At 42.7% G+C, this 25,165-nt stretch overlaps 1 protein-coding gene across 4 annotated transcripts in view, besides 2 other annotated features; it reads left to right on the top strand.

Moving 5' to 3' along the window:
- The window catches only part of KANSL3 (KAT8 regulatory NSL complex subunit 3), a 57,819-nt gene extending 50,583 nt beyond the window's left edge, over window positions 1-7,236 (top strand). For all 4 annotated transcript variants that reach the window (XM_047445030.1, XM_047445024.1, XM_047444998.1 and 1 more), the window contains one exon: window positions 3,045-7,236. In XM_047445030.1, the coding sequence (XP_047300986.1) occupies window positions 3,045-3,056 (12 nt within the window). In that variant the 3' untranslated portion in view covers window positions 3,057-7,236. The remainder of the gene's footprint in view (window positions 1-3,044) is intronic.
- Window positions 22,351-22,851: an enhancer, noted in NCBI's record as "NANOG-H3K4me1 hESC enhancer chr2:97230616-97231116 (GRCh37/hg19 assembly coordinates)". NCBI's record gives its function as "activates a minimal SCP1, AML or CMV promoter by ChIP-STARR-seq in naive H9 embryonic stem cells {active_cell/tissue: H9 hESC(naive)}" and the evidence as "EXISTENCE:reporter gene assay evidence [ECO:0000049][PMID:30033119]".
- Window positions 22,922-23,422: an enhancer, noted in NCBI's record as "H3K27ac hESC enhancer chr2:97230045-97230545 (GRCh37/hg19 assembly coordinates)". NCBI's record gives its function as "activates a minimal SCP1, AML or CMV promoter by ChIP-STARR-seq in primed H9 embryonic stem cells {active_cell/tissue: H9 hESC(primed)}" and the evidence as "EXISTENCE:reporter gene assay evidence [ECO:0000049][PMID:30033119]".

Here is a 25,165-nt window from a genome sequence, read left to right as displayed (position 1 = left end):
TCCTTGTTAGACAGTTCTAATATCTGTGTCTTCTCAATTTTGGCATCTGTTGGTTGTCTTTTCTTATTTGAGTTGAGAATTTCTTGGTTCTTGATATATTCTTTGAGTGGTTTTGGATGAAACTGGGACATTTTGAGTGTTATCTATGAAACTCGATCTTCTTTAAATCTTCTGTTTTAGCAGGCCTCATCTGACACTGCTCTCATAGGGGAACTTTGTTACTGCCAGATGGGGTGGAAGTCTAGGATCCCCACTTGGCTTTCATTGACATTGGGGTGGAGTCTTTACTGCTGGGTGGAGGTGGGAGTTTTGGCTCCCCACCTGGCCTCTGCTGCTGCCAGCCAGCCTAGCTGGAAGGGCAGGAGTACCTTGTTGGTCTTTCTCACATGTTCTTGTTTCTAGGCAGAGGTAAATGCCCTGACTCTTCACTAGGTCTTTGCTGATGCCACCTAAGCTGGGACAGGGTTGTGTCTTATTGCCAGGTGGGTAGATTTCCAGGCTAACCACATGGTCTCTAATGGCACAAGAAGAGTGGGGGTTGGGAGCTTTATTACCACTCATTGGGATTGAAGTTTTAGTTTCCCACTTGGCCTACTTCAACACCACCCCCCAAAAACTAAACATTTGAGGAGACAGCCACCTCACAAAAGGCAACAGTGGACAACATATACTTTCTGAAGCAGAATTATTGGAAGAGATAAGTTAATATGTGACTAATATATGTAAGGAGTTATGGTTGGTCAGATACTGATATGAAACAACAGGAAACTGTTATTTAAAAACCCAGAAATACTAGTTATAGAAAATATAATAGCTAAAACAAGGTAATTATGGGATAAAAAGTAGAAGGGATATGGCTAAAGAATTAATTAACTGGAAGATTAGAATTAGGAATTCTCTCAGAAGGCATCAAAAGAGCCAAGAAGTATAGAGGACAGAAGTAGAAGCAGTAGAACACAATTAAGAGTCATGAAGGGAAAGCTGGCTACTCGGGAAGATTGCTTAAGGCCAGGCGTTGAAGCCTGTAGTGTGCGATGATCAGGCCTGTGGATAGCGACTGCAGTCCAGCCTGGGCAACAAGACCCTGTCTCTCAATTTTCTTTTTCAATTTTTAAAAGCCATGAAAGGAAAATGAAATAAAAAACAAGGAAGTAATTTTTTACATAATGGAGGATAAATTTCTAAGAATTAAGAGAAAATTGAAAGGCCTCAGTTTGAAAGCATTCACATGGAGTCTCAACTGGGAGCAATAAGGAAAACCCACATCTAGACACATTATAATTAAAGACAGAAAATCTTTCTTATTTTTAAATTTGATTCCAGTAGTTGTTGGGGAAGAGGTGGTTTTTGGTTACATGGGTAAGTTCTTTAGTGGTGATTTCTGAGATTTTGGTGCACCTGGCATCTGAGCAGTGTACACTGCACCAAATGTGTAGTATTTTAATCACCCCCACCCTTACCCCGAAGTCCTCAAAGTCAATTATATCTTTTTTTTTTTTTTTTTTGAGACTGAGTCTCACTCTGTCATCCAGGCTAGAGTGCAGTGGCACGATTTTGGCTTACTGCAAGCTCCGCCTCCCGGGTTCAAGTGATTCTCATGCCTCAGCCTCCCGAGTAGCTGGGATTACAGGTGCCCGCCACCACGCCCAGCTAATTTTTATATTCTTGGTAGATATGGTTTCACCATGTTGGCCAGGCTGGTGTCAAGCTCCTGACCTCAAGTGATCCGCCCGCCTCAGCCTCCCAAAGTCCTGGGATTACAGGCATGAGCCACCGCGCCCAGCCCAATTATATCATTCTTATGCCTTTGTGTCCTTATAGCTTAGCTCCCACTTCTAAGTGAGAACGTACAATATTTGGATTTCCATTCCTGAGTTACTTCACTTAAAATAATGGTCTTCAGCTCCATCCAGGTTGGTGCAAATGCCATTATTTTGTTTCTTTTTATGGCTGAATAGTATTCCATGGTATATATATACCACATTTTTTTTTTATCCACTCTTTGGTTGATGGGCATTTAGGCTGGTTCCATGTTTTTGCAGTTGCAAATTGTATTGCTGTAGATGTGTGTGCAAGTGACTTTTTCATATAATGACTATTTTCCTTTGGGTAGATACCCAGTAGTGGGATTGCTGGATCAAATGATAGTTCTAATTTTAGTTCTTTAAGGGATTTCCATACTGTTCTCCATAGTGATTGTACTAGTTTACATTCCCACCAGCAGTGTAAAAGTGTTCCCTTTTCATGCCAGCATCTATTATTTTAAAATTTTTAGTTATGGCCATTCTCGCAGGAATAAGGTGGTTTCACACTGGCTTTGATTTGCATTTCCCTGATAATTAGTGGTGTTGAGCATTTTTTCATATATTTGTTAGCCATTTGCATATCTTGAGAATTGTCTGGTAATGTCCCTTGCCCTTTTTGTGATGGGATTACATATTTTTTTCTTGCTGATTTAAGTTTCTTGTAGATTCTGGTTATTAGTCCTTTGTTGGATGGATAGTTTGTGAATATTTTCTCCCATTCTGTAGGTTGTTGTGTACTCTGATTTTTCATTTGCTGTGCAGAAGCTTTTTAGTTTAATTAGGTCCCATCTATTTATTTTTGTTCTTGTTGCATTTGCTTTTGGGCTCTTGGTCATTAACTCTTTACCTAAGCCAACAAAAGACAGAAAATCTTAAAGGCTTCCATAGAGAAAATCCACATCCACCGCAGCGTTTGAGCCAGAATCAGACTAATGTGAGACATCACAACATGAATCTTCGCTTCAAGAAGTCATTAATGTTTTTAACATAGTGGAGGACAGAACATGGAATTTAAGTGTTAGGACATTATAAGAATGTTCTCAGGCATACACAGCTTCAGAAGATCTGACACACAAAGACTCGTTGGTGCACTCCCATGTTTATTACAGCACCATTCACAGCAGCCAAGATAGAGGATCAACCTAAGTGTGCATCAGCAGATGAATGGATAAAGAAAATGGGATATATATATACACAATGAAATACTACCTAGTTAAAAAAAAATTCTGTCATTTGCAGCAACATGGATGAACTTGGAGGACATGTTAAGTGAAGTAAGTCTGGACAGAAAAATACTGCGTGTTCTCACCCACAGGTAGGAGCTAAAAAAGCTGATCTTATAGAAGTAGGGAGTGTAGGTGGGATGAATAACTTCTAGTGTTCTATAACACTATAGGCTGACTATAATTAACAATTTATTATAGATTTTCAAATTCCTAGAAAACCAGATTTTGAATGTTCCCAGGATAAAGAAATGAGAAATGTTTTGAGGTGCTGGATATGCCAATTATCCTGATTTGATCATTACACATTGTATACACGCTTTGAAATATTGTACTCTGCCCCATAAATACATACAATTATATGCCAGTTAAAAATAATAAAAGCTGGCCGAGTGCAGTGGCTCATGCCTGTAATCTAAGCAATTTGGGAGGCTGAGGTGGGAGTATCTCTTGAGCCCAGGAATTCAAGGCTGCAGGGCACCATGAGTCACCACTGCACTCCAGCCTGTGCAAGAGCGTCTCTAAAAATAAAAGTGAAAAAAGAATAGACACACCACAGACTCAGATAAAATGTTTGTAATATGTATTTGACCGAGGACACACATATAACCAGAATACATAAAAGAATTACTACAAATCATGATTTAAATGTAATAAATATTTGCAGGCTTAAATAGAGACATTCCACAAGAAGATATCCAAGTAGCCAATGTGCACATGAAAGAGTTTTCAGTATCACTGGTCATGAGTAAAATGCAATATTAAACCAATAAAATACCACTTTACACTCACTAGAATGGCTAAAATTAACAACAATACCGAGTGTTAGCAAGGATAAGGAACACCTGGAACTCTTAGACATTGCTGGTGGTAGTCTATTATAGTAAACCACTTTGAAGAACTGTTTGAGCAATTCCTCTCCTACGTATATACAAAAGAGAAATGATAACTTACGTCCACAAAAGTAGTGACTTCTACAAGTACATTCATAGCAGCTTTATTCATAATAGCCCAAAACTGAAAATAGACTGAATGTCCCTTAATAGGAAAATGGATATACACATTGCAGTATTTTCATATAGTGGAACACTATTTGGTAATGAAAAGAACCACTGACATGCAATGACCTGGATGAATCTCAATAGCATGCTGAATGGCAGAAGCTGGACCCAAAAGACTACACGGTATGATTCCACTGATAGGAAATCCAAATTTGAACAAAACTAGTCTGCGGTTATAGAAGTCAGATCATGATTGAGAGAGACTGTAACCAGAAAGGAGTACAGAGACTTTTTCCGTCGGGGGGAAATGTTCTATATCTTGTTTTGGATGGACATTACAAGGATGTATACAAATGTTGAGACTCAGTTGAGTGAGAAGGGGCCCACATCTGGTAATAGCCAAGTAGCTCCTACCAGACCATTCCATGCACATGTAATAACTATAAATAAAAAAATAGAAAACTTCCCATAAGCTGCTGGAGAGCCACAGAATCAGACAGATAATGGGAAGGTGGGTGACACTTAGATAGAGTAAAACAGTGAATTTTGTTTGTATGGCTTGTAGTCTGAGGGCAAACCATAGTCTGTACCATGCAGAGCAGCTAAAACTCAGAAATGTGCTGCTGTAACCATTCTGTCCAGCTTGCAGAACAAAATAGCAGAGGTTGGGTTGACCATTGCAGCTGGAAAGTGAGGGGATACTCACAGGAAGAAGAGAGTGAGCCTCAGATATTCTGCACACTGTGTCCAAACCTTCCTGTAGCTCCTAAACTACACATGTGTGTGTTAGACTTCCAGCAGTCCAGCTAAGGCTAAAAGAATTGAACTGAAATTTCAGCTGCCTTCAACTGCAGGCAAGCAATATGCAGTTTGAGTCTAGTAAACTTACCTGCCTATTAGCATGAATAATCAGTATTTTTCAGCAACATTATAGAATCCAACATTTTTGGAACATATGATATGTCCAGAATATGATCCCAAATTATTCAGTAAAGAGGCAAATATTACCCATGCTCAAGAGAAAAGGCAATCAATTGAGACTGACCCAGAGATGATGCAGACATTGGAATTAGCAAGCAAGGAATTTAAAGCAGCTCTTAATATTACGCTATAGGATGTAAAGGAAAGTGCTCATAATGAAGAAAGTGGTAAGAAGTACAGAAGAGAAGTCCAAACTAGAAAAAGCCAAATGGAAATTCTGTCACTGGAAAATTAAATACTTGAAATAGAAAATTCAGTGGATGGGCTTAATAGCAGATTGGAAGTTACAAAAGAGTTATTGATTTTCTTCTTTTTTTTTTTTGAGACAGAGTCTTACTCTGTTCCCTAGGTTGGAGTGCAGTGGCACTATCTCCACTCATTGCAACCTCCACCTCCTGGGTTCAAGCGATTCTCCTGCCTTAGCCTCTAGAGTAGCTGGGATTACAGGCGTGTGCCACCATGCCCGGCTAATTTTTGTATTTTTAGTGGAGACGGGGTTTCACCAGCCTTACCATTTGGCCAAGCTGGTCTCAAACTCCTGGCCTCAAGTCATCCGCCCGTCTTGGCCTCCCAAGTGCCGGGATTATAGATGTGAGCCACCGCACCTGGCCGAGTTACTGACTTTTAAAACAAAAACAAGTTATCTGGGGGAGAGAAAAATAAAATTGAAAATAGTGAATAACACCTTAGGGCAATATCAAAAGATCTAATGTACAAATAATTTTTAAAGTCCAAGGACAAGAGGAAAGAGGCCCCCCAAGGAAAATATTTAAATGAATAATAGCTGAAGTATTTTTATATTTGGTGAAAGACAAAATTTGTAGGTTCAAGAATCTCAGTTAACCTTGAGCCTCAGTGATAGGATATGGATGTTCACTGTACAAGTCTTGCCATTTTTTTCTCTGTGTTTGAAATTTTTTATAATGTTAAAAAACAAAATCCTCAAAACAAAACATTTATATTGAAAGAAACATTTAGAAGTACTCAGACACAAGTCCAGATGAAGTAGACAGAGATATAGAAAGTGAGGGTGGTTAAGTATCTATAAAGTTTGTTGTTACCTTAAAAGCCTCAAAGAAAATATAGTCTGTAGCCATCTACAGCTAAAATTCTAAATATCAATATGAGGATGGGGTAAGGGAGCAAAAGATAAAAAGCAGCATGTTGAAGCACTCGTGGAAATATATTGGTAAATTTAAGAAGCTTATAATAGTATATGAAGATAAGAATGAATGCTAATATACCAGTAACCACCTTAAGAACAAAGATATAATCTAAACCTTTTTTTTTTTTTTTGAGATGGAGTCTTGCTCTGTCGCCCAGGCTGGAGTACAGTGGCATGATCTTGGCTCACTGCAACCTCCGCCTTCTGGGTTCAAGCGATTCTCCTGCCTCAGCCTCCTGAGTAGCAGGGATTACAGGCATGTGCCACCACGCCTGGCTAATTTTTGTATTTTTAGTAGAGATGGGGTTTCACCATGTTGGTCAGGCTGGTCTCGAGCTCCTTACCTTGTGATCTGCCTGCTTCGGCCTCCCGGAGTGCTGGGATTACAGGCGTGAGCCACCGTGCCCTGCCCCTTAGGTGATTCTTAAAGCGGGGAAACTAAAGCACTAGGCTTTGGGGCTCTCTTCTCAGGCATCCTCCTCAATTCCCAGAGGAGGGACCTGAGACTCAAAACAGAGAGTCTGCAGGGCTGCACAGCCGCTGGTTGAAGGCTGGGAAAGAGCCAGATGTTTTCTAGAAGGGCTCATTCTGTCTCACTGTCCTGGCCTAACAGGAGGTGGCAGCACTGGTTCTGAGTTCTTGCTACTGCTTCTCTGGATTGGCCTCACTCAGGGAGTGCAGTTATCTCATGGGCTGGAATCCTGGTTACTGGAATGCAGAGACAAAAGTCTTGTACCTCCTGTGGAGCCCACTGTAGGCATAGGAAACCTAACATTATTTGGCTCTATGATGTCTCTGTTTTGCAGGGATTCCACACATGACACTTTTTAAAATGCAAACTTTTATATTCAAATATAATGTATATGCATAAAAGTGCACCAATAGAAACTATACAGTATAATGAATTTTCACAAACAACACACACCTGTTTAACCAACATACAGGTAAGAAATAGAACATTACCACACTATCCTTCTGCTCCAGGACAACCTCTTTCCTGACTTCTACCACCATAGGTTGGTTTCGCCTATTTTTAAACTTAATAAAGGTGGAATTATGTATTTTTTGCATGTCTAGCTTCTTTCAACATTATGAAAGTATATAGATGTATTACATACAACATCTATTACATCCATGTTGTATGTAATAGTTCATTTGAGATGTTATATAACATTTATGAAATGTTATTTCATGTGATAGTTTGGGATTATTGCAAATAATACAACTATGTACATGCCTTTTGGTTAATACATGCACACATTTCTGTTGGAGGAATGGAGTTGTTGGGTTGCAGGATATGCTCATGTCAAGGAGCCTATGTTCCAGTAAAACGAGAATTGGAATTCCTCCTCTAGTGGCACTTCAGCTAAGGAGGAAGTTACTCTGGAAGCCATCAGCAGGCTGTAGGATAGGTTCTGTTCCTATTTAGGTGCCAAGAGCTACATATGCATATCAGTGTGCACATCTAAGTGAATTGACACACTTTCAAGTCTCTGCCACTCTGAGTGGACAGGTGTGTCTTTCAGAGTTTTATTAACAGATGCATTAGTTCACATCTTGGCAAGAAAAGATGGCAGACTCAAAGGGTATATTAGAATTGGTGAAGGGACAATTTAGACAGAGTGAAGGAAAACAACGGGGCTTTGAAGCTCCCAGGACACACACTCAACGCTTCAGCAAGGCCTCAGTGAGCTCATGAAGCAGGGAGGAGTGGGTAGGAGCAGCCTTCGCCACCAGGCGCCATCCCTGCAGCCTACATAAGCACACCTGTCCTCTCAGAGCCCCCTGGGCTCCCACAGGCCTTGCACCCATAGGCCTGAAGGAGCAGTGTTACTAGGTTCTGGGAGAGCTGTAGCCATGGAGAGGCTGCAGAGAGAGCTGGGTGAGTGGGAGGTTGGAAATAAATACTTCCATGTCTTCTCTTGCCTCTCATCACCTGCTGGAAGCCAGAGGATAATGCAGTTCTTATAGGTCAGCCTCCTGGGGTAGTTTCCTAGGGCGCAAAGCAGGGATGTGAGGGAGAAGGATGGATCTGGAGGGGCAACCAGAATATCTGACCTGATAGATGTATTTTTCAGCTGGAAAAGGCATACATATTGAGAGTAGAAATGTTGGCCAGTATAGAAAAGCATAAAGAAGAAAAAAAAGAATATCTATAATCTCATCAACCAGAAGCATTGTCTGTTTACATTTTAGTGTGTTTGTTTCTAGTCCTTTTCCATACATATTTTTCAGTAGTTGGAATCACACCATGCATGTAGTTTTTTATTAGTTTTTGTAATGAGTTGGCACCAGAATTCCTCTTGGGGAAGAGAGCTTTTGGTTTGGGGAAGGTTCCTTGAGAAACTGGAATAGATGAGATGGCTCTGACTGTAAGGTATTAGTAGCTCAAGCAAAGGATGGTTAATATCTCTGTAGGAGAGAGTGGATTTTTTTATATTTACTGGTGCTTTTGAAGAGAAGGTGGCTAGGGAAGCATCCTGATGGCAGGGTGGCCAAGGGGCAGGTTAAGAATGGCCTACAAAACTGATGACTTATTCTCCCATTCTTCATACCACTAGAATTACAGTGTTGTGGAAGACTTGGGGGAGATCCCTTTCTCAGGGAGGGATGGGCATGTAGCCCAGTCCTGGCTAGTGAATTTTAAGGGGACTGTGCCAGAGGCTACTGGGAAGGGTTTCCTCCTGATAAAAAGGGAGGGGCACGTGAGGAGAAATTCTCTGCCCTGCATTGACCTTTGTTTCCTGCCCCAACTTGCAACTTGAAGAGAAAGGCCAAGGATTAAGAATTAGGACTCATTAGGCCGGGCACGGTGGCTCACACCTGTAATCCCAGCACTTTGGGAGGCCGAGGCAGGCAGATCATGAGGTCATGAGATCGAGACCATCCTGGCTAACACGGTGAAATCTCGTCGGTACTAAAAATAGAAAAAAATTAGCCGGGCGTGGTGGCGGGTCCCTGTAGTCCCAGTTACTCAGGAGGCTGAGGCAGGAGAATAGCTTGAACCCAGGTGGTGGAGCTTGCAGTGAGCCGAGATCACGCCACTGCACTCCAACCTGGGTGACAGAGCGAGACACTGTCTCAAAAAAAAAAGTATTAGGACTCATTAGCCAGGCGGGTACACGCCTGTAAACTCAGCTACTCAGGAGAAGGGAGGATCACTTGAGACCGGGAGTTCAAGACCAGCCTGGGTAACATAGTGAGACCCCTGTCTCCAAAAAAAAAATTTTTTTTAATTAGCCAGACATGGTGGCATGCACCTGTAGTCCCAGTTACTCAAGAGACTGAGGTGGGAAGGTTTCTTGAGCCCGAGAGTTCAAAGCTTCGGTAAGCCATGATTGAGCTACTGCACTCCATATCCTGGGAGACGGAGCAAGACCCTGTCTCAAAAAAAAAAAAGAAATAAAAAAAGAATTAGGACCCTGGCCCCCATTCTCAGCTCTGTCTCTGTGTCATTTGTTAATTCTGAGTCCTGCTTGCATCTTGGCATTGATTCCACCCACCCCCTCCTCCCCCAAGTAGGGAGAACAATAACAATGCTTACATTCAAGCTTTATCCTAGGCCATCATTACTGGTATTCTATAGTTCAGGGAAAAACTGAGGCACAGAGAGGTTAAGTAACTTGCCCAAATCACACAGCTGGTAAGTGGCAGAACCATAGCCGAATTCTGGCAGTCCACTGCAAAGCCCACTCTCAAGCAATCTCTAATCGCAATGACTTGGCTCTCAGGGTTGTGGTGGGTAAGCCTGCTGTGCTCGGAAACTGAATAGTAGCTCATGGCCTATCCATGATAGGTAAAGGGTTGATTGGTTGCAAACCTCTTATCTAAATGGCCTGTAAAAGCACACACTGTGCTTGCTCACAGTGCCCAGAGACCACGTGGGAGGTGCCAAATATGGGTGGTAACAGGCAAGGAAGAGGGAGTATCTGTACCAAATCTGGTTTTGAGGAAGAATTGTATGTCATGTTGAATTGACAGTCTGGCTAATTGGATGGGTAGATGGCTCCTACATGGGTGTCGTAGGCTCTGGCAATGCTGGGCATCCCATTTTCCCATAACTTGTCAGGCTTAAAGTGATTACTGAGGAAGGTGGAAACCAGGCTTGACCACTTGGTTCTTGGTCCATGTGTTCAGACTTCCCTAGAGAGCACCTGTCCTGGAGGATCTAAGCCAGGGCTTCTCATGGTGAGCCCTCTCCGAGAGTGGAGAAGCAGACCAAGGCAGTGGGGAGTGGGACTCTTCTTATGTGGATCATGCCCAGCACCAAATGAGATTGATTCCAGATTAGGTCAGCAGTCATTCTAGACCAGATGGTCCCTATGGAAAAAAAGTGGAGAGTTAGAACAGGGAAGGGTGAGCAGCAAAAGATGCAAAGGAGAGGGAAAACTGGAACAAGGGACAATAATTTCAAATCTGTAGGTTTGTCTTTTTCCCTCTCTTCCTAAGCAGTTTAGTCCTAAAGCCACTAAATAATGCACAGCCAAAAGGGAAAATATTCGTGCATGTGGCAGGGGGAGAAGCCAGCACTAACTTTTGCTAGAAGTGTTCATTGGAGCCCCAGAAAATCCCCTGGGTTCCAGACCTAGTCCTCTGCCACGATCGTGTGGTAATAACCCCAATTTTCCCTTGATAATTGGGGTCAGTCACTTCAGCCCGCAAAGTCACTGCTCTTTTTTGATTTAATGTCATGAGGCACCCAAAAATGTCTAAATGGAGGCAGTCTCAGCTTCCAGTTTGATGGAGCCATTGTTGGGTCCCTGGTGGAAATAGTCCTCCCTTGGGAACCAAGACCTTCCAAGCAAGCAGAGCTCAAAATTGTGGAGATGAGAAGTGACTGGTCATTATGTGTGCTAGTGGGAAGACCTGCTTTCTTTTCTGTTCTTGCTTCCTGGGCCCATGAAGAGACAGCACTATGAATAGGTCTTTGATTTGAAGGATATATTGCATCCTATAAGATAAAACCCTATTCTTTCAGGGTGTTGACTCCCATCTGGTGCCCTAGGTAATTATCTAGTAGGCCATCCCACTGTTCAGACTGACCTCTTCACGATGGGATCTCTGGTAAGACCAATGAGTTTCATGAACCACAAGCCCATTGTTGCAAGCCTCTGTAATGCATGCCTTCCAGTGAGTATCCACATCAGATATTTGGGACCCAAATATCTGTTCCCCTTTGTGCCCAGTTTGAGAAGTTTATCTATATAATTTCCCCAGATCTCATCACCAATGTTCCAACCCTTGTCCCTCCATAACCATCCAGTCATTAATTAGAAATCTTCCTTTAGTCAGCAGATCTGTACTTCTGGTCATCTCTCAGTTCAAACAAAGTGGATAACCAAACAGCTCCAAGTTCTGCTGAATAGGAAGTCTTCTGTTTATCACTGTCCTTCAGAGACACCCAAGTGAGATTGTAATATTGCCATCCACTTTCTGTTGGTTCCAACATATAGAGAACTGCCTGCAAATCAAGCCCAGATTATTTCCTTCTCAGCTACCTAGTCATAAGGAACTCCCAGCAGGCATAGATGAGGATTGAGGGGGAGGAGGCAATGCAGCCAGAGTCAGTGTCGAAGGAGTCTGACTTACTTCTGTCCTCTGGACCTGCTTGAGTCCAGCCTTTTCTATTTTTGCTGCACAGGTCTAATCTGTGGCTAGGTGTGTCAATAACTATAAATTCATGATGGAAAGCTCAGGTCACAAGGTTACTTGATATCTCATGGTTCAGTGTTTATTCTTTACTAAGGGCCAGTAGAAAAGCAGAATCTTTTTCAAACAGATATTAGTTACTTGGAGAAGAGGGCATGGATTTGCCTCCACACTCCAGAGTTCTGTACTGTGATTGTCCTATTAATGCTTGTCACAGGCTCCACAGACCAGCCTGTTTGTCACAGGCACTTTTACTAGCATTGGATCTGTGGGGTCATAAGGCTTGTTCTTCAGCCTGGGCTTGATGCAGAGCAAGAGATTGCTTTAGTCTCTGCTCAAAATTGATTACTCAGTAAATGGGTTGAAATAACACACTCAAGTTTGGTATGCATTGCCTCCAAATGCCAAGAAGGATCCACCAAGGATTTTCTTTATTTTTTAGTTGTAGGTGATGCAAAGTACAGCAACTTGTCTTTTGCCTTGGAGAGGCAATCTTAACAAGCTCGTCACACTAGATCTCTGGAAGCTTTGAGATCATAAGCCTTTGAATTTTCATGGGGTTTATCTCCCACCCTCTGTTTACGTGCATGCCTCCAAGATATCTAAACTATTTTGCATTTTCTGCTCATCACATCCAATCAGTATAAATGTCAGTTTAGCAGATGGGTATAATGTCAAGATCTCCACACACTGTGTTATGTTAGGAGGAGAATTCACAATACTATGAAGGTCTTGTCAGGTAAAAGCTCATGGTTCTTACCAAGGGGAATGGAGGAAAAAACATTTTCCAGGCCAATAGGTGCATGGCAGGTGTCAGGGGCTTTGTTGATTTGTTCCAGTAAATATACTACATCAGAACAGGAGTTGCAGTCAGACCTACCACTTGATTAATTTTATGATAATCCACAGCCATTACCCAAGATCTAAGTATGTTCTTCACAGTCCAAAAGGTGTGTTAGAAGGAGATGTGATAGGTACTTCCATCCCTCCAACTTTCAAGTCTTTGATATTAGCACTGGTTTCTGCAGTTCCCCCTGGATGCAGTATTACTATTCAGGAGCTTCACTTGGCCCTTTCCTACTGTAAGCCAGCGTAGAGGGATTCAGCCAGTTGCCAGTATATCTATGCCGATTATACATTCAGGAACTGGGAATTCAACCACAGGCATGGATCTACAGATGTCCTGGGTCCACTGTAGTTCAAATTTGGACTCAGTCCATTTATCGCCTGCTCATCGGTAACACAGGAACAGGGAGGAGAAGCCTATGAGAAGTGGAGTAGAAGATGCAAGTCCCTTCTCACTCCTCCATCTTTGCAGCCTCCCTCTGGTGGCCTCTATTAGCAAAGACCCACAGGGAAGCATATCACAAAGCAGAAATGAGGTTTGTAGAGTTCCATATCACAAACCAGAATAGAAAATGTAGGTTTGCAGCTGAGATACATATATGCATTATATGTTATTCCCATATACAGCCATCCCTCAGTATCCAAGGGGGACTGATTCCAGGACCTCTTGTGGATATCAAAATCCATAGATGCTCAAGTCTCTAGTACAAAATGGCGTAGTATCTGCATATAACCCATGTATATCCTCCCGTATCATTTGAATCATCTCTAGATTACTTACAATACCTTACATAATGTAAATGCTATATAAATAGTTGTTATACTATATTGTTTAGGGAATAATGACAAAAAAATAGTCTGTACATATTTAGTACAGACAGTTTTTCCCTGAATATTTTTGACCCACGATTGGTTGAATCCAAGGATTCAACCCACAGATATGGAGGGCCACAGATATGGAGGGCCAACTGTAATATATATGCTGCAGAACCCACAGATATGGAGGGCCAATTGTAATATATATGCTGCATATCATATATATATAATATATATGCTGTGTGAAATATATATAATATATATGCTGTGTGTTATATATGCTATGTGTTATATATGTGATATAATAATAACTGGCACATGCTTTTTCTCCTCATATCTCTATCAAAAAATTATTTTTTTTGAGACCAACTCTGCTGTTGTTGACCAACAGCTAATAGGCACAGTAGGAATTCCAGATTTAGAAATTTTGGGCAGCATGGCTGGCCTTGAAGAGGCTGGGATGGAAGAGGTTTCCTGGATCTGCCCACAGTGGTGTACTCAGAGCCCTGGGGGTCCACACACAGCTATAAGAAGCACTGAGAGCTTCCTGCATGTCAGCGTTCTCCTCTTCCTTCATATCCATGACTGGTGCATGCCTGGATTTCTTCTGTCTCTCTTGCACTCATGCCTCCACCTCTCCCTGCCATGTTTGGCTTTGGCACCTTCTTCTGCTGTTGCTGCTCCTCTTCTCAGGCTCTGCTCTTCTGTGGCCACCTCATACATTTCCAGGACTTCACACTCAACAAATGGTTGAATACCATGCAGCTACTAAGGCAAAATCAAAGGTAAATAATACGTGATTTCTCGCCTCACAGAGCCTTATAGTCAAGGGAGGCCGACTCCTCAGACTCTGCCTCCTGTCCTGACCATGCATCTGCCTCCAAACATGCGTTTCTGTCTTCCTCCTAGACACTGCTGCTTGCCCTGACCAGGTGGTCCTTGCCTCCCTTTTCTCAGCCCACTCCCTCGCTGGGCTCACTGTTTCTAAAGATAAAACCATTACATCAGTGAGTGATTCAGGCCCACAGACCTCCGTTCAATCACTGAGCCCAGGTTCTGTCTGCAGAGTATTCTAATCTCATGCATACACTCATTCCCCCTTATTCAGGACCTCATTCCGTCATCCTTATAACTGCCACTCTCCCCTATAATCAGTCCATCCTCCACCCTGCAGTTAGCTTAGTAGTCTTATTATGTGGCTCCTACTATGTAATTTACCCCCAAATCTTTATTAGCCTTTACTTTTCCACCAGTGCTTATGTTATCAGGTCTAGCCCTTGTCCTTCCATGACTGGGTCTTGAACCCCTATGCTTACCTTATATTCCTACTAAACTGCACCACTAACTTTGTCCTTAATGCCTCCCATGGCCTTCTGCTTGCATACTTTTGTTACCAAGTTCTCATCGTCTGAAATTTCTTCTGTGTCAGCTTCTGTCTGCTTCCCTTTCCAGTTCTCTTTGTTGTCCCCCTCACCCAAACTGTAATTCCACAGAGCTTCTTTTTCATTTTGGAAGATAATGATATTGTTAACCTAACACTCAGCACATATGGCTTTGTATTATAGTTGTTTATGTTCATGCCACATTGCCTTCCTTGGCTGTAGGCTCTTTAAGGGAAGAAATTATATATTATTTACATTTGTATTGATCTTAGTAGCTGGTATGACACTCAACATTTGTTGAGTGTATAAGTAATTCCGTTCTCTCCTCTCACCTATACTTTTCCTCTTTTCCCCTCTTTACTGATGTTTCTCACCTTGGCCTAGAAAAATGTTTACATCTTCTCCATATTAAAAACAAAACTAGGGTTCCTCTTCTACCTAAGATGTAGAAAGCTGGCATGAAAGACAAAATGCAGTGGATAATTAAGGAGGAATGCTTAATTAATAGGAAGAATATTGAGCAATGAAGACAGTCTCAAAGAAGAGCGGGGAGACCTAGGGTTTTATGGGGGCACTTAGACAAGGGAGCCATCTGTATCTTCTGTAAATCTTATGGAAGTCATGCAGAAGGATGGAGATGGGTCTTATCTTGGCATATGCCAGAGCAGGGCAGAACTTTGCAGTTAGCCATTTCCTGAGCCACAAAAAGATAGGGAAATTTCTTAACTGTTGCTGTTTTTAGGCATATGAGGCTCAGGCAGAGTTTACTGTTGTCAGTCCCTTCTTTTTTCGTGAATATCATTCATTACTGAACAACTAAGAGGTGATCGCAAAGCTTTAGAGGGGCAAAGCAGGTATAAGAAATGGCCTCCCAAGGGCTCTTGTTGGTGGTGGTTTTGCAGAGTCAGTTGAGCCATCTGATGAAAGGTGGTGGCAAAGATCAGTTGTTTTAGAGTGCTAGAAATCTGGCATCTTTAAAGAAGCATGACTGAAATGTAAAAGAGAAATATTCATATCAATGGTTGAATTGAAGTACAGAGCCTGAGGGTAACCTGTTTACTGGATTCCAAGTGGTCAATGGAAGAAAACCTTTTGGTTTTGCAGCAGTGCTTCTTGAGTTTCTTGAAGCTCAAGCTAGGATGGTGATGCTCTTGGTGTTGGTCAGTCTTGGTTCTTGCTCATATAGAGACATGCATATACAAGCATTTTACTGGTCTTCCTTAGTAGTCCAGACAGTGGCCTGTGCAGGGAGAATTCAGCCCCTGCATGGTCTGCCATGGTGATGAGTCCTTTGAGGTTTATATCAAGTCTTTGGGCTGTAGGTTATAGGGGGTTCTGCAGATCCTGGACAAAGAGCCAGTGCAAGGGTACCTGGAATCCTGACGTAGAATCTAGATGGTGAGCCTTCATTCAGTTCCTGGTGATGCTGAGTCAGGCAGGAGGTAGGAAAATTAAAAATGTTAGTTTGGATAACCATAGCCAGATAATGATGACATCTGGAAGAATTGAAAATTTGATAAGAATCCACAATTTAGGCAAGGTGACAGCATCCAGTCCAATTTGCAGGTAAGTACTAAAATTGTTTTTTCCATAGGGTGAAAGGAAGTCAGTTAAATCTTTACCATACAAAACAGTTTGCATATCCATCAGTTACCTGTGATTTATAAAAAAATGAACAGCAATGACCAGAGCCAGAATCTGATAACCCAGATGGGTGTGCATAGATTTCCATTGAAACACAAAATTCCTCTCTACAGTCACTTCCATCTTGATAAAAAATAATCTCAAAGAACTGTTATTCTTGGCGCGGAGGCTCACTTCTGTAATCCCAGCACTCTGGGAGGCTGAGGCAAGCGGATCACTTTAGGTCAGGAGTTCGAGACCAGCCTGGCCAACATGGTGAAACCTCATGTCTACTAAAAATACAATACAAAAAAAAAAAAAAATTAGCTGGGCGTGGTGGCATGTGCCTGTAGTCCCAGCTACTCAGGAGGCTGAGGCACGAGAATCGTTTGAACCCAGGAGCTAGAGGTTGCAGTGAGCCAAGATCATGCCACTGCACTCCAGCCTGGGCAACAGAGTGAGACTGTCTCAAAAAAACAAACAAAGAAACAAACAAAAAACTATTATTCTTGATCAACACTTGATCACAAAATAAGGCTGGTCTCATTAGACTTGTCTGATTACTCACATAGGTAGAGTAAGAATGGTAATTTGCCACACAGGTCTTCTTAAGTTTACTTTGTTGAAAGTTTTCATCAGGACTTTCAGACTGAGCTTTTAAAATTCTCTTGAGGCTAGGAAGCCAAGCTAAGAACTTGCCATCATACTTTAAATGCAGTACCTATAAATTTGGACAAATTCCTCTTTTCTTGAGTCTCCAGAATATCCTAAGCTTCCTGGTACTGTCAGGAAGTGACCTTTCTTACTCACCTGTAAGGCTGAAACCATGTACTCCAGTGCCAGTTTTCCCAAGAGCATTTTGTAAACATTGGCTCCAAAAAGTCAACCTTAGTTCTTTAAAGTATCTGGTCATAGCTGATTAAATGAGCATCATTCTCAAACATGACATTCGGGGAGGCACCAGAGTAAAAGAAAAAAACTATCTGTAGATGACAAAAGATTTAAAGGCCTTTGTTGCATAACCAATGTTTCTAATTCTGTCCCGTAAACAAGGAGGACAGATTCTTATTGAACCTGTGCAAATAATTATATTGCAATGAAATTAAGAATACTCCAAATTCTGGAAGGATCAGGCAGTAAGAAAAATACACCATTTGCAAATTGATATGGTTTGGCTCTGTGTCCCCACCTAAATTTCATGTCAAATTGTAATTCCCACATGTCAGCAGAGGGGCCTGATGGGATATGATTGGATCATGAGGGCAGATTTCCCCCTTGCTGTTCTCATGATAGTGAGTGAGTTCTCACAAGGTGTGTTTGTTTGAGAATGTGTGGCACTTCCCCCATCACTCTCTCTCTCTCCTGCCGCCATGGTAAGACATGCTTGCTTCCTCTTGGCCTTCCACCATGATTGTAAGTTTCCTGAGGCCTCCTAGCCATGCGTCCTGTACAGTCTGCCAAACTATGAGTCAATTAAACCTCTTTTCTTCATAAATTACCCAGTCTCAGATAGTTCTTTATAGCAGTGTAAGAATGGACCAATACACAAATGTTCATTTTAAAGAACATAGTCTACTAAATTGTTATGAGTTATAGATAGCTTAAGATAAAGGAGCTCTTTATGTATTCAGAAAATAGAACATTAAAACAACAATAGTCCAAGCAAAACCCACAACCATCCCCCATCAGTTCATTCAGTCCTATGTCATTAATTCCTGTTCTGCTCAATCTTAGGTTAGTAGTCTCATGAATCCATCTGTTTCTCAACTAGAGTTTTAGAAATCCTGACTCAGTTCAATTATGTGGTCTCAAAGTTGCTTAAGTAGTGCCATCAGAAGTCTATACCCAAAGGTACCTGGCATAGTCCTTTTCCACGGAGCTCTGAGACAGTCCTTCTTTATTGAAGTGATTTCAAGTCCTTTCAGAGAAGCATCAGAGTAAAACAGAACACTATTGGTAGATAACAGAAGACTTAAAATGACTATGGTTAACATACTGCTTATAATTATCAAAAGTGAAAGGCATGATGAGAGTTCATTACAAAGATAATGCAACTCAAGAATATTTGCAGTTTTTGGGGCATGCAAAACAAGATGAAGTCAGTCAAAATATTTTTAGGCAAAATATCTATGAATATAATGATTGACCCTATTTTCAAAGAAAAGTAGATGTTATATCTAATTTATAAAAATTAGTGAACCTTTTCAGGGAAAAAAATCTTAAGATATAAAACATAACAAACATGGACATAATATATCATGAATATACCAAGTATATAACAAATGACAGTGTTAAGTTTTGTGAGAGCCCTGTGTTTCTGGAAAACGGCAAAGGCTGAGAAATCCCCGCACTCTGCCCTCCAGGAAACAGCTCACTGTGAAGACCACCCTTCCCTATATGACTTGGATAAGACTCCCAAATGCTCCTTGTTTACCCTTGACCAAGTCAGACAGACTCTCCAAATTCCCATTCTTTGCCTCATAAATGATTAGCTGAACTCTTTTGTCCCCACTGGACAAAATGGGAACAAAATCAAAATCTTTGGTTCATATTCTCTGCTTCCCCCAAGGCTCCTAAGTATTGGCCCACCCTCAACCTGAGCCAGCAGGCAGTCCTGCTACTTCTGGAAACAGACTGGGCTAGGTGCAGTGGCTCACACCTGTGATCCCCTTAGTTTGGGAAGCCGAGCCTGGAGGATTTCTTGAGCCCAGGAATTCAAGACCAGCCTGGGCAACAAAGTGAGACTCCATCTCTACAAAAAATTTAAAAATTAGCCAGATGTAGTAGTGCATGCCTGTAGACCCAACTAGTCAGGAGGCTGAGGTAGGAGAATCACTTGAGCCCAGGAGGTTGAGGCTGCAGTGAGCCATATTCATGCCACTGCACTCCAGCCTTGCTGACAGAGTGAGACTCACACACAAAAAAAAAAAAAAAAAAAAAAGCGGGGGCGGAGTGGGAGGAAAATAGACTGGCTTTGGGATAAGACATTCTTGGGTCTGCTATCCTGTAATGCCACCCTCCCATTCCACTTTCCCATACCTGGATCTTTCTAGCCTTATTTACTCCTCTCTACAAAATAAAAGCACTTTGCCCACCCTCTCAGATACTTGCAGATCTTATGGTCAGAGCAACCTCCCCCGGCAATAGTTCCTTACCACACCCCCTTGCAATAACTGCTCCAATAAAGTCTCCTTACGTAGTCTGGGTTTGTTTTTATTTGACTTGAGGAAAGAGATTCAGCAAATCTGGATTAGGTCCTAGACACCTGTATATTAATAAAACTCCATAGTTAAGTGATGTGAATCCTCAATTAAAAACCCTGGCCCAGAAGATAGTAGATTCACATTAGAGAATTAAAGCTGCAACCAAGTTAACATTTTAAAAACTAACAAATTATAACTGATAGCACTATACTGTTTTTGTCTAATATTAGGCAAAGGAGCACCAGGAATCATAAACATATCATGGACAGCAAAGACATTGATGATTGTCTAGAAATTTCCCATAAAGCATACAATTTCTGAAAATTTTATATTAATAATAGCCCAGGCCAGCACGCGGTGGCTCACGCCTGTAATCCTAGCATTTTGGGAGGCCAAGGTCAGAAGTTTGAGACCAGCCTGATCAACATGGTGAAACCCCATCTCTACTAAAAATACAAAAATTAGCCAAGCATGGTGGCGCATGCCTGTAATTCCAGCTACTCAGGAGGCTGAGGCAGGACAATCGCTTGAACCCAGGAAGTGGAGCTTGCAGTGAGACGAGATCGCACCACTGCACTCCAGCCTGGGCGACAGAGTGAGACTCCGACTCAAAAAAAAAAAAAAAAAAAAAGGCCAGGTGCAGTGGCTCACACCTGTAATCCCAGCACTTTGGGAAGCCGAGGTGGGTGGATTACAAGGTCAGGTGTTCAAGACCAGTCTGGCCAATATGGTGAAATCCTGTCTCTACAAAAAATACAAATATTAGCCAGGCATGGTGCTGCATGCCTGTAGTCCCAGCTACTCGGGAGGTTGAGGCAGGAGAATTGCTTGAACCTGGGAGGCATAGGTTGCAGTGAGGTGAGATCGCACCACTGCACTCTAGCCTGGGCCACAGAGCGAGACTCTGTCTTAAAAAAAAAAAAAAAAAGCATCTCTTCTGATTTGACAAAGTGATCCAGGGCAAGCGAGCCCCCTCCCACCCCCACCAAATTGGGGCTTAGCCCAGGAGGGTTGTTGGCTTTGTCTAGGAAAGAATTCAAGGGTGAGCCGGTGGGGTGAGACAGCAACTTTTATAGAGGCGGCAGTGCACAGCGGCAGCAGAAGTGCTGCACCTTAGAAAGCAGGGCTACCCCATAGGCAGTGTGCACAGAGTAGCAGCTTAGAGGCAGTTCTACAGTCGTATTTATACCCACTTTTAATTATATGCAAATTAAGGGGTGGGTTATGCAGACATTTCTAGAAAAGAGTGGTAACTTCTGGGTCGTTGGGTGGTTGCCACAGAAAGGGGCAGTAACCTTTGGGTGTGCCAGTCTTATGGAAAGCTGCTTCTGCGCTGGCCCTGTTTTAGCTAGTCTTCAATCTCGTTCTTGTCCAAGTCTCCACCCCCAGAGTCTAATCCTGCCTCCTACCTCAAAAGCTTCCCATGCAATTTATTAATAACATATCTGATAAGCTGAATTACTTCTAGTACCTCTCCTTTTACAAGGTGAAAGAACAAATCCTAAGTGATTTTCCAGGGACCCTCTGGGAAATCTCAAAGACAGTTGTAGGTGTGAAAGATACCATTTAGGATTTGATTTGGGAAAGGTAGAATATCAAAAGCTGTCAGGAGGTTTGAATACTTAAGTTAGGGTCATAGATTACTGAGAAACAATACTTAGCTACCCCATTTAGCTAAAGTGACAATGAAAATATTTTAAAAGTAAACATGGGAGGTAACATGATTGTAAAGAACCTTAGCTCTTTATAAAAGTGGTAAGACTTTCTCTTCTTACTTAAGGACATGGTAAAGTCAACATAAAGCATAGGAAAGTATTCTGATAAAACACATCTTTGGCCGGGCGCGGTGGCTCACACCTGTAATCCCAGCACTTTGGGAGGCCGAGGCGGGCAGATCACAAGGTCAAGAGATAGAGACCATCCTGGCCAACATGGTGAAACCCTGTCTCTACTGAAAATATTAAAAAATTAGCTGGGCATGGTGGTGCACACCTGTAGTCCCAGCTACTTGGGAGGCTGAGGCAGGAAAACTGCTTGAACCTGGGAGGTGGAAGTCGCATTGAGCCAAGATTGCATCACTGCACTCCTGCTTGGCGACATAGTGAGACTCCATCTCAATAAATAAATAAATAAATAAATAAATAAATAAAAGCATAAACAAAGAAAACTCACAGTTTTCAAACATTTCATATCAGTGAGTTTTTCTTTTCCCAGAGGGTACAAATTCTGAATTAATTTGAGTTCAAATAGACAAGCAGAGAAGAATAGAAAACTAGATGCTGTGCTGTCATTCACCCATCAGGACATGACCTCTGGGCCATTAAATCCATTTGGCTACTTCCTCCAGTGTCTCCTTTGCCAGTCTGTGTGCATGTCTGATTGGTTGGTATCTCAGTCACATGCCTGCTCAATGGCAGCAAGGGAGTTTGGGAATGCAGGTTTTTATAGCTTGTCCCTTGGGAAGATGGTACTCAAAATATAGGAAAGGACCAAAATGGGGGCGGTCCAGATGCCCTCAAGGATATTGGGTAGCCATCAGTGACAGACTTGCATCTGGTGTTTCTGATGACCTTCCCTCATTCTCCCTGCCTGTCAATGGAAGCCACTCTCCTAGGGAGGACAGATTTCAGCTCTCTCCCTCGTTCCTGCCCCTCCCTTTCCCTTTCTCTCATGCAAATTCTAATCCCACTCTATCTGATTTAGCATCCCATTGCTTTCTATACAAGCACAGGTTTGACAGGGCCCAACAACGGGGCAGAGAAGCCTGAAAGGGCTGCCTCGTACATGCCAGGCATTGTTTGCATGCAAATGACGGCTAGGTTTTCCCTAGGGAATACCAATCAGATCTGCTTCTTGGTCCTAGTTCTTGAGTGTAGCTGGATCCAAAGCCATCGTCCTGAAAATTCTGGAGTGACTTAAATTCTACACTATGTGGCAAGCCCTCCTCTCCTCATCACAAGTCAGAGGTTCCTGACTTATTGTCTGGAAAGAGTTCTTCCCTTACCTGTGAGCTGGAAGGTGTTCCTTGGCAAAAGTGGTGGAGGATCCAAGATGAAGGACTCGGCAGAAAATCACACACACACACACACACACCCCACCACCACCACCAACAACAAAATACATAAAAAGTGATGGAGGAGAGATTCTGGCCACTAAAGATCAATATCCTTATATTGGCCACAGGGGGGTGATTAGGCTGGCCTGTCAGGTGGCCTTGCTCAGTGCAAGGGCCAGTGAGTCCTCCCACTCATCACTGACTTGGCAGGGGACAAGGCCCAGCCTATCTCCATAGACGTGCCTCTGCTGCCTGGACCCATGGCTGGGGCTCTTGAATGTTCACCATCTGGGACACCTGGATATCTGGCTGATGGTGTTGGAGTGGCAAATGGCAGAAACGACATCTGGCTAGCTTATATCCAAAGAAGGATTTATGAGGAGGATTCTCGGAATTCTCTCCAACTCCAGAAAACATTTAGGATCCTCTGGGATATGCAGGGTCTCCCCGGAGCACAGCGATGACCCTGACTGAGCGCCATTAGTCCAGTTAGATGGTGCCCCTCCCTGGCAGGGGTCGGGTAGTACTGGACCACTCTGGAGATGGCCATGGGCTGGCTACTGCAGCCACAAAGATGTCAGTGATCAAAAGAAGCATTTGATCAGCTGGCCAAGGCTCAGGCATCTGTGTTTGAAGGGGAAGGCGTCAAGGAGTCTGCAACAAGGTTGATGCAAATTCACACAAAACCAGGCACAAAACCTATTGTTGGTCCAGGCTTCCAGACTTGAATGCTACAGCTGGCGGTCACGGCCCAGCCTCGCCCTCCAGGGAACCAGGCAGGAGACATGTCCTAGTGTCATGGGCCTGGGGCCATGTTTCCATGGTGGGCACTGTGGCACTGAGACTGGACCCTGCTTCAGAGGGACAGGGACATCATTCCACCAACCCACTTCTCAAAGTTCTCAATTTGCATAGAAGGCTACTCTCAGGACCTCCCTTCTTCCCAAAAAGGGCAAAGGATGGCCCTGTGTTGTCCCACTGACAAGTGCTGAGAAGCAGCCAGCTTTTCTTTCTGTTTCTCACGACAGTTTGTGTTAGTCTATCCCTGGCATTCTGTGCACAGAGACCAGTGCTTAAAAGGAAAGGAAGGGGATGAAACAAGGGGTTTGGAAAGGAAGAAATATTTACATAGGAGTGATGGTCAAATATGTAATAACTACAATAATCTAAATATAAAATATATATTTTTTATTCTCTAAATAATATAAACACAGTTGACCCTTGAACAACATGGGTTTGAAGCGCTTGGGTCCGCTTATATTTTGATTTTTTTCAAAAGATGTAGTCGGCTCTTGGTATTTACTGATTCCCTATCTGCAAACAAATACAGGTGGAAGATGCAGTATTCTCAAGATGCAAAAACTCGCCTCGTCAGAGGGCAGAATTTTTATATAGGAGGGATCTGCAGGGCAAACTTCTGGACTTGGCCATGCACGGATTTTGGTATGGGGGGAGAGTCCTGGAACCAATTCCCCATGTATACTGAGGGACAACTATTTCTTATAAAACTGCTTGCCAAGTGATGTAAGTTGTAAAACAAACCATTCATCAGATCCCTCTGATCATTTCCAAATCACTCATTGGTTTTCATAAGCTGTTGGTGTGGTCTTTGTTTGACATGGGTGTCCCTAAGTTAGTACGTCCATTTCTGAGCCCACGATGGCATGGGGAGCTGTCCCAGACTTCCATTAAGCTGCTCCTTTTGTGATCTGGTATCAGAAGTCACACACCATCACTTCTGCCTTATTTTATCAGTTCATTAGTTAGATGAGTCACTAATTCCAGCCCACACTCAAGAGGAAGGGAATTAGGCTCCACTTTCTGAAAGGAGTACAAGATTTTGTGGGCATATTTTCCGCTACCACAGTCTGCCTGCTGGCCACAGATTATTTACACCCCTCACTGTATTAGTCTTCTATTTCTGCTCTAATAAATTACCACAAGCCTAGTGACCTAAAACAACACGAATTTATTATATTGCAGTTCTGGAGGTCCGAAGTCCAGTATGGGTCTCACAGCGCTAGAATCAGGTGTCAGTAGGACTGTGTTCCTGCTGGAGGGTCTAGGGGAGAATCTGTCTGCTTGACTTACAGCTTCTAAGAGGCACCCACATTCCTTGGCTTGTGGCTCCTTCTTCTGTCTTCAAAGCCAGCAATGCTGGGCCAAGTCCTTCCTCTGCTGCCTTTTGAGTCTCTTTCTCCCACCTTGTTCTTCCACTCTTAAGGACGCTCATGTGACATTGGGCCCACCCAGTATTTTCTTGACAATCCAGGATAGTCTATTCATATCCAGCAACCATAATTTCATCTGCAACCGGAATTCCCCTTTGCCATGCCCCCTAATATAGTCATAGGTCCTGGGGATTAGGATGTGGACATCTTTAGGAGGCTGTTATTCTGCCTACAGTCCCATATAC

This window comes from Homo sapiens, chromosome 2 (genome assembly GCF_000001405.40).
Source record: "Homo sapiens chromosome 2, GRCh38.p14 Primary Assembly".
In the NCBI taxonomy this organism is placed as follows: Eukaryota; Metazoa; Chordata; class Mammalia; order Primates; family Hominidae; genus Homo; species Homo sapiens.
This window is presented reverse-complemented; position numbering and strand designations above follow the sequence as displayed.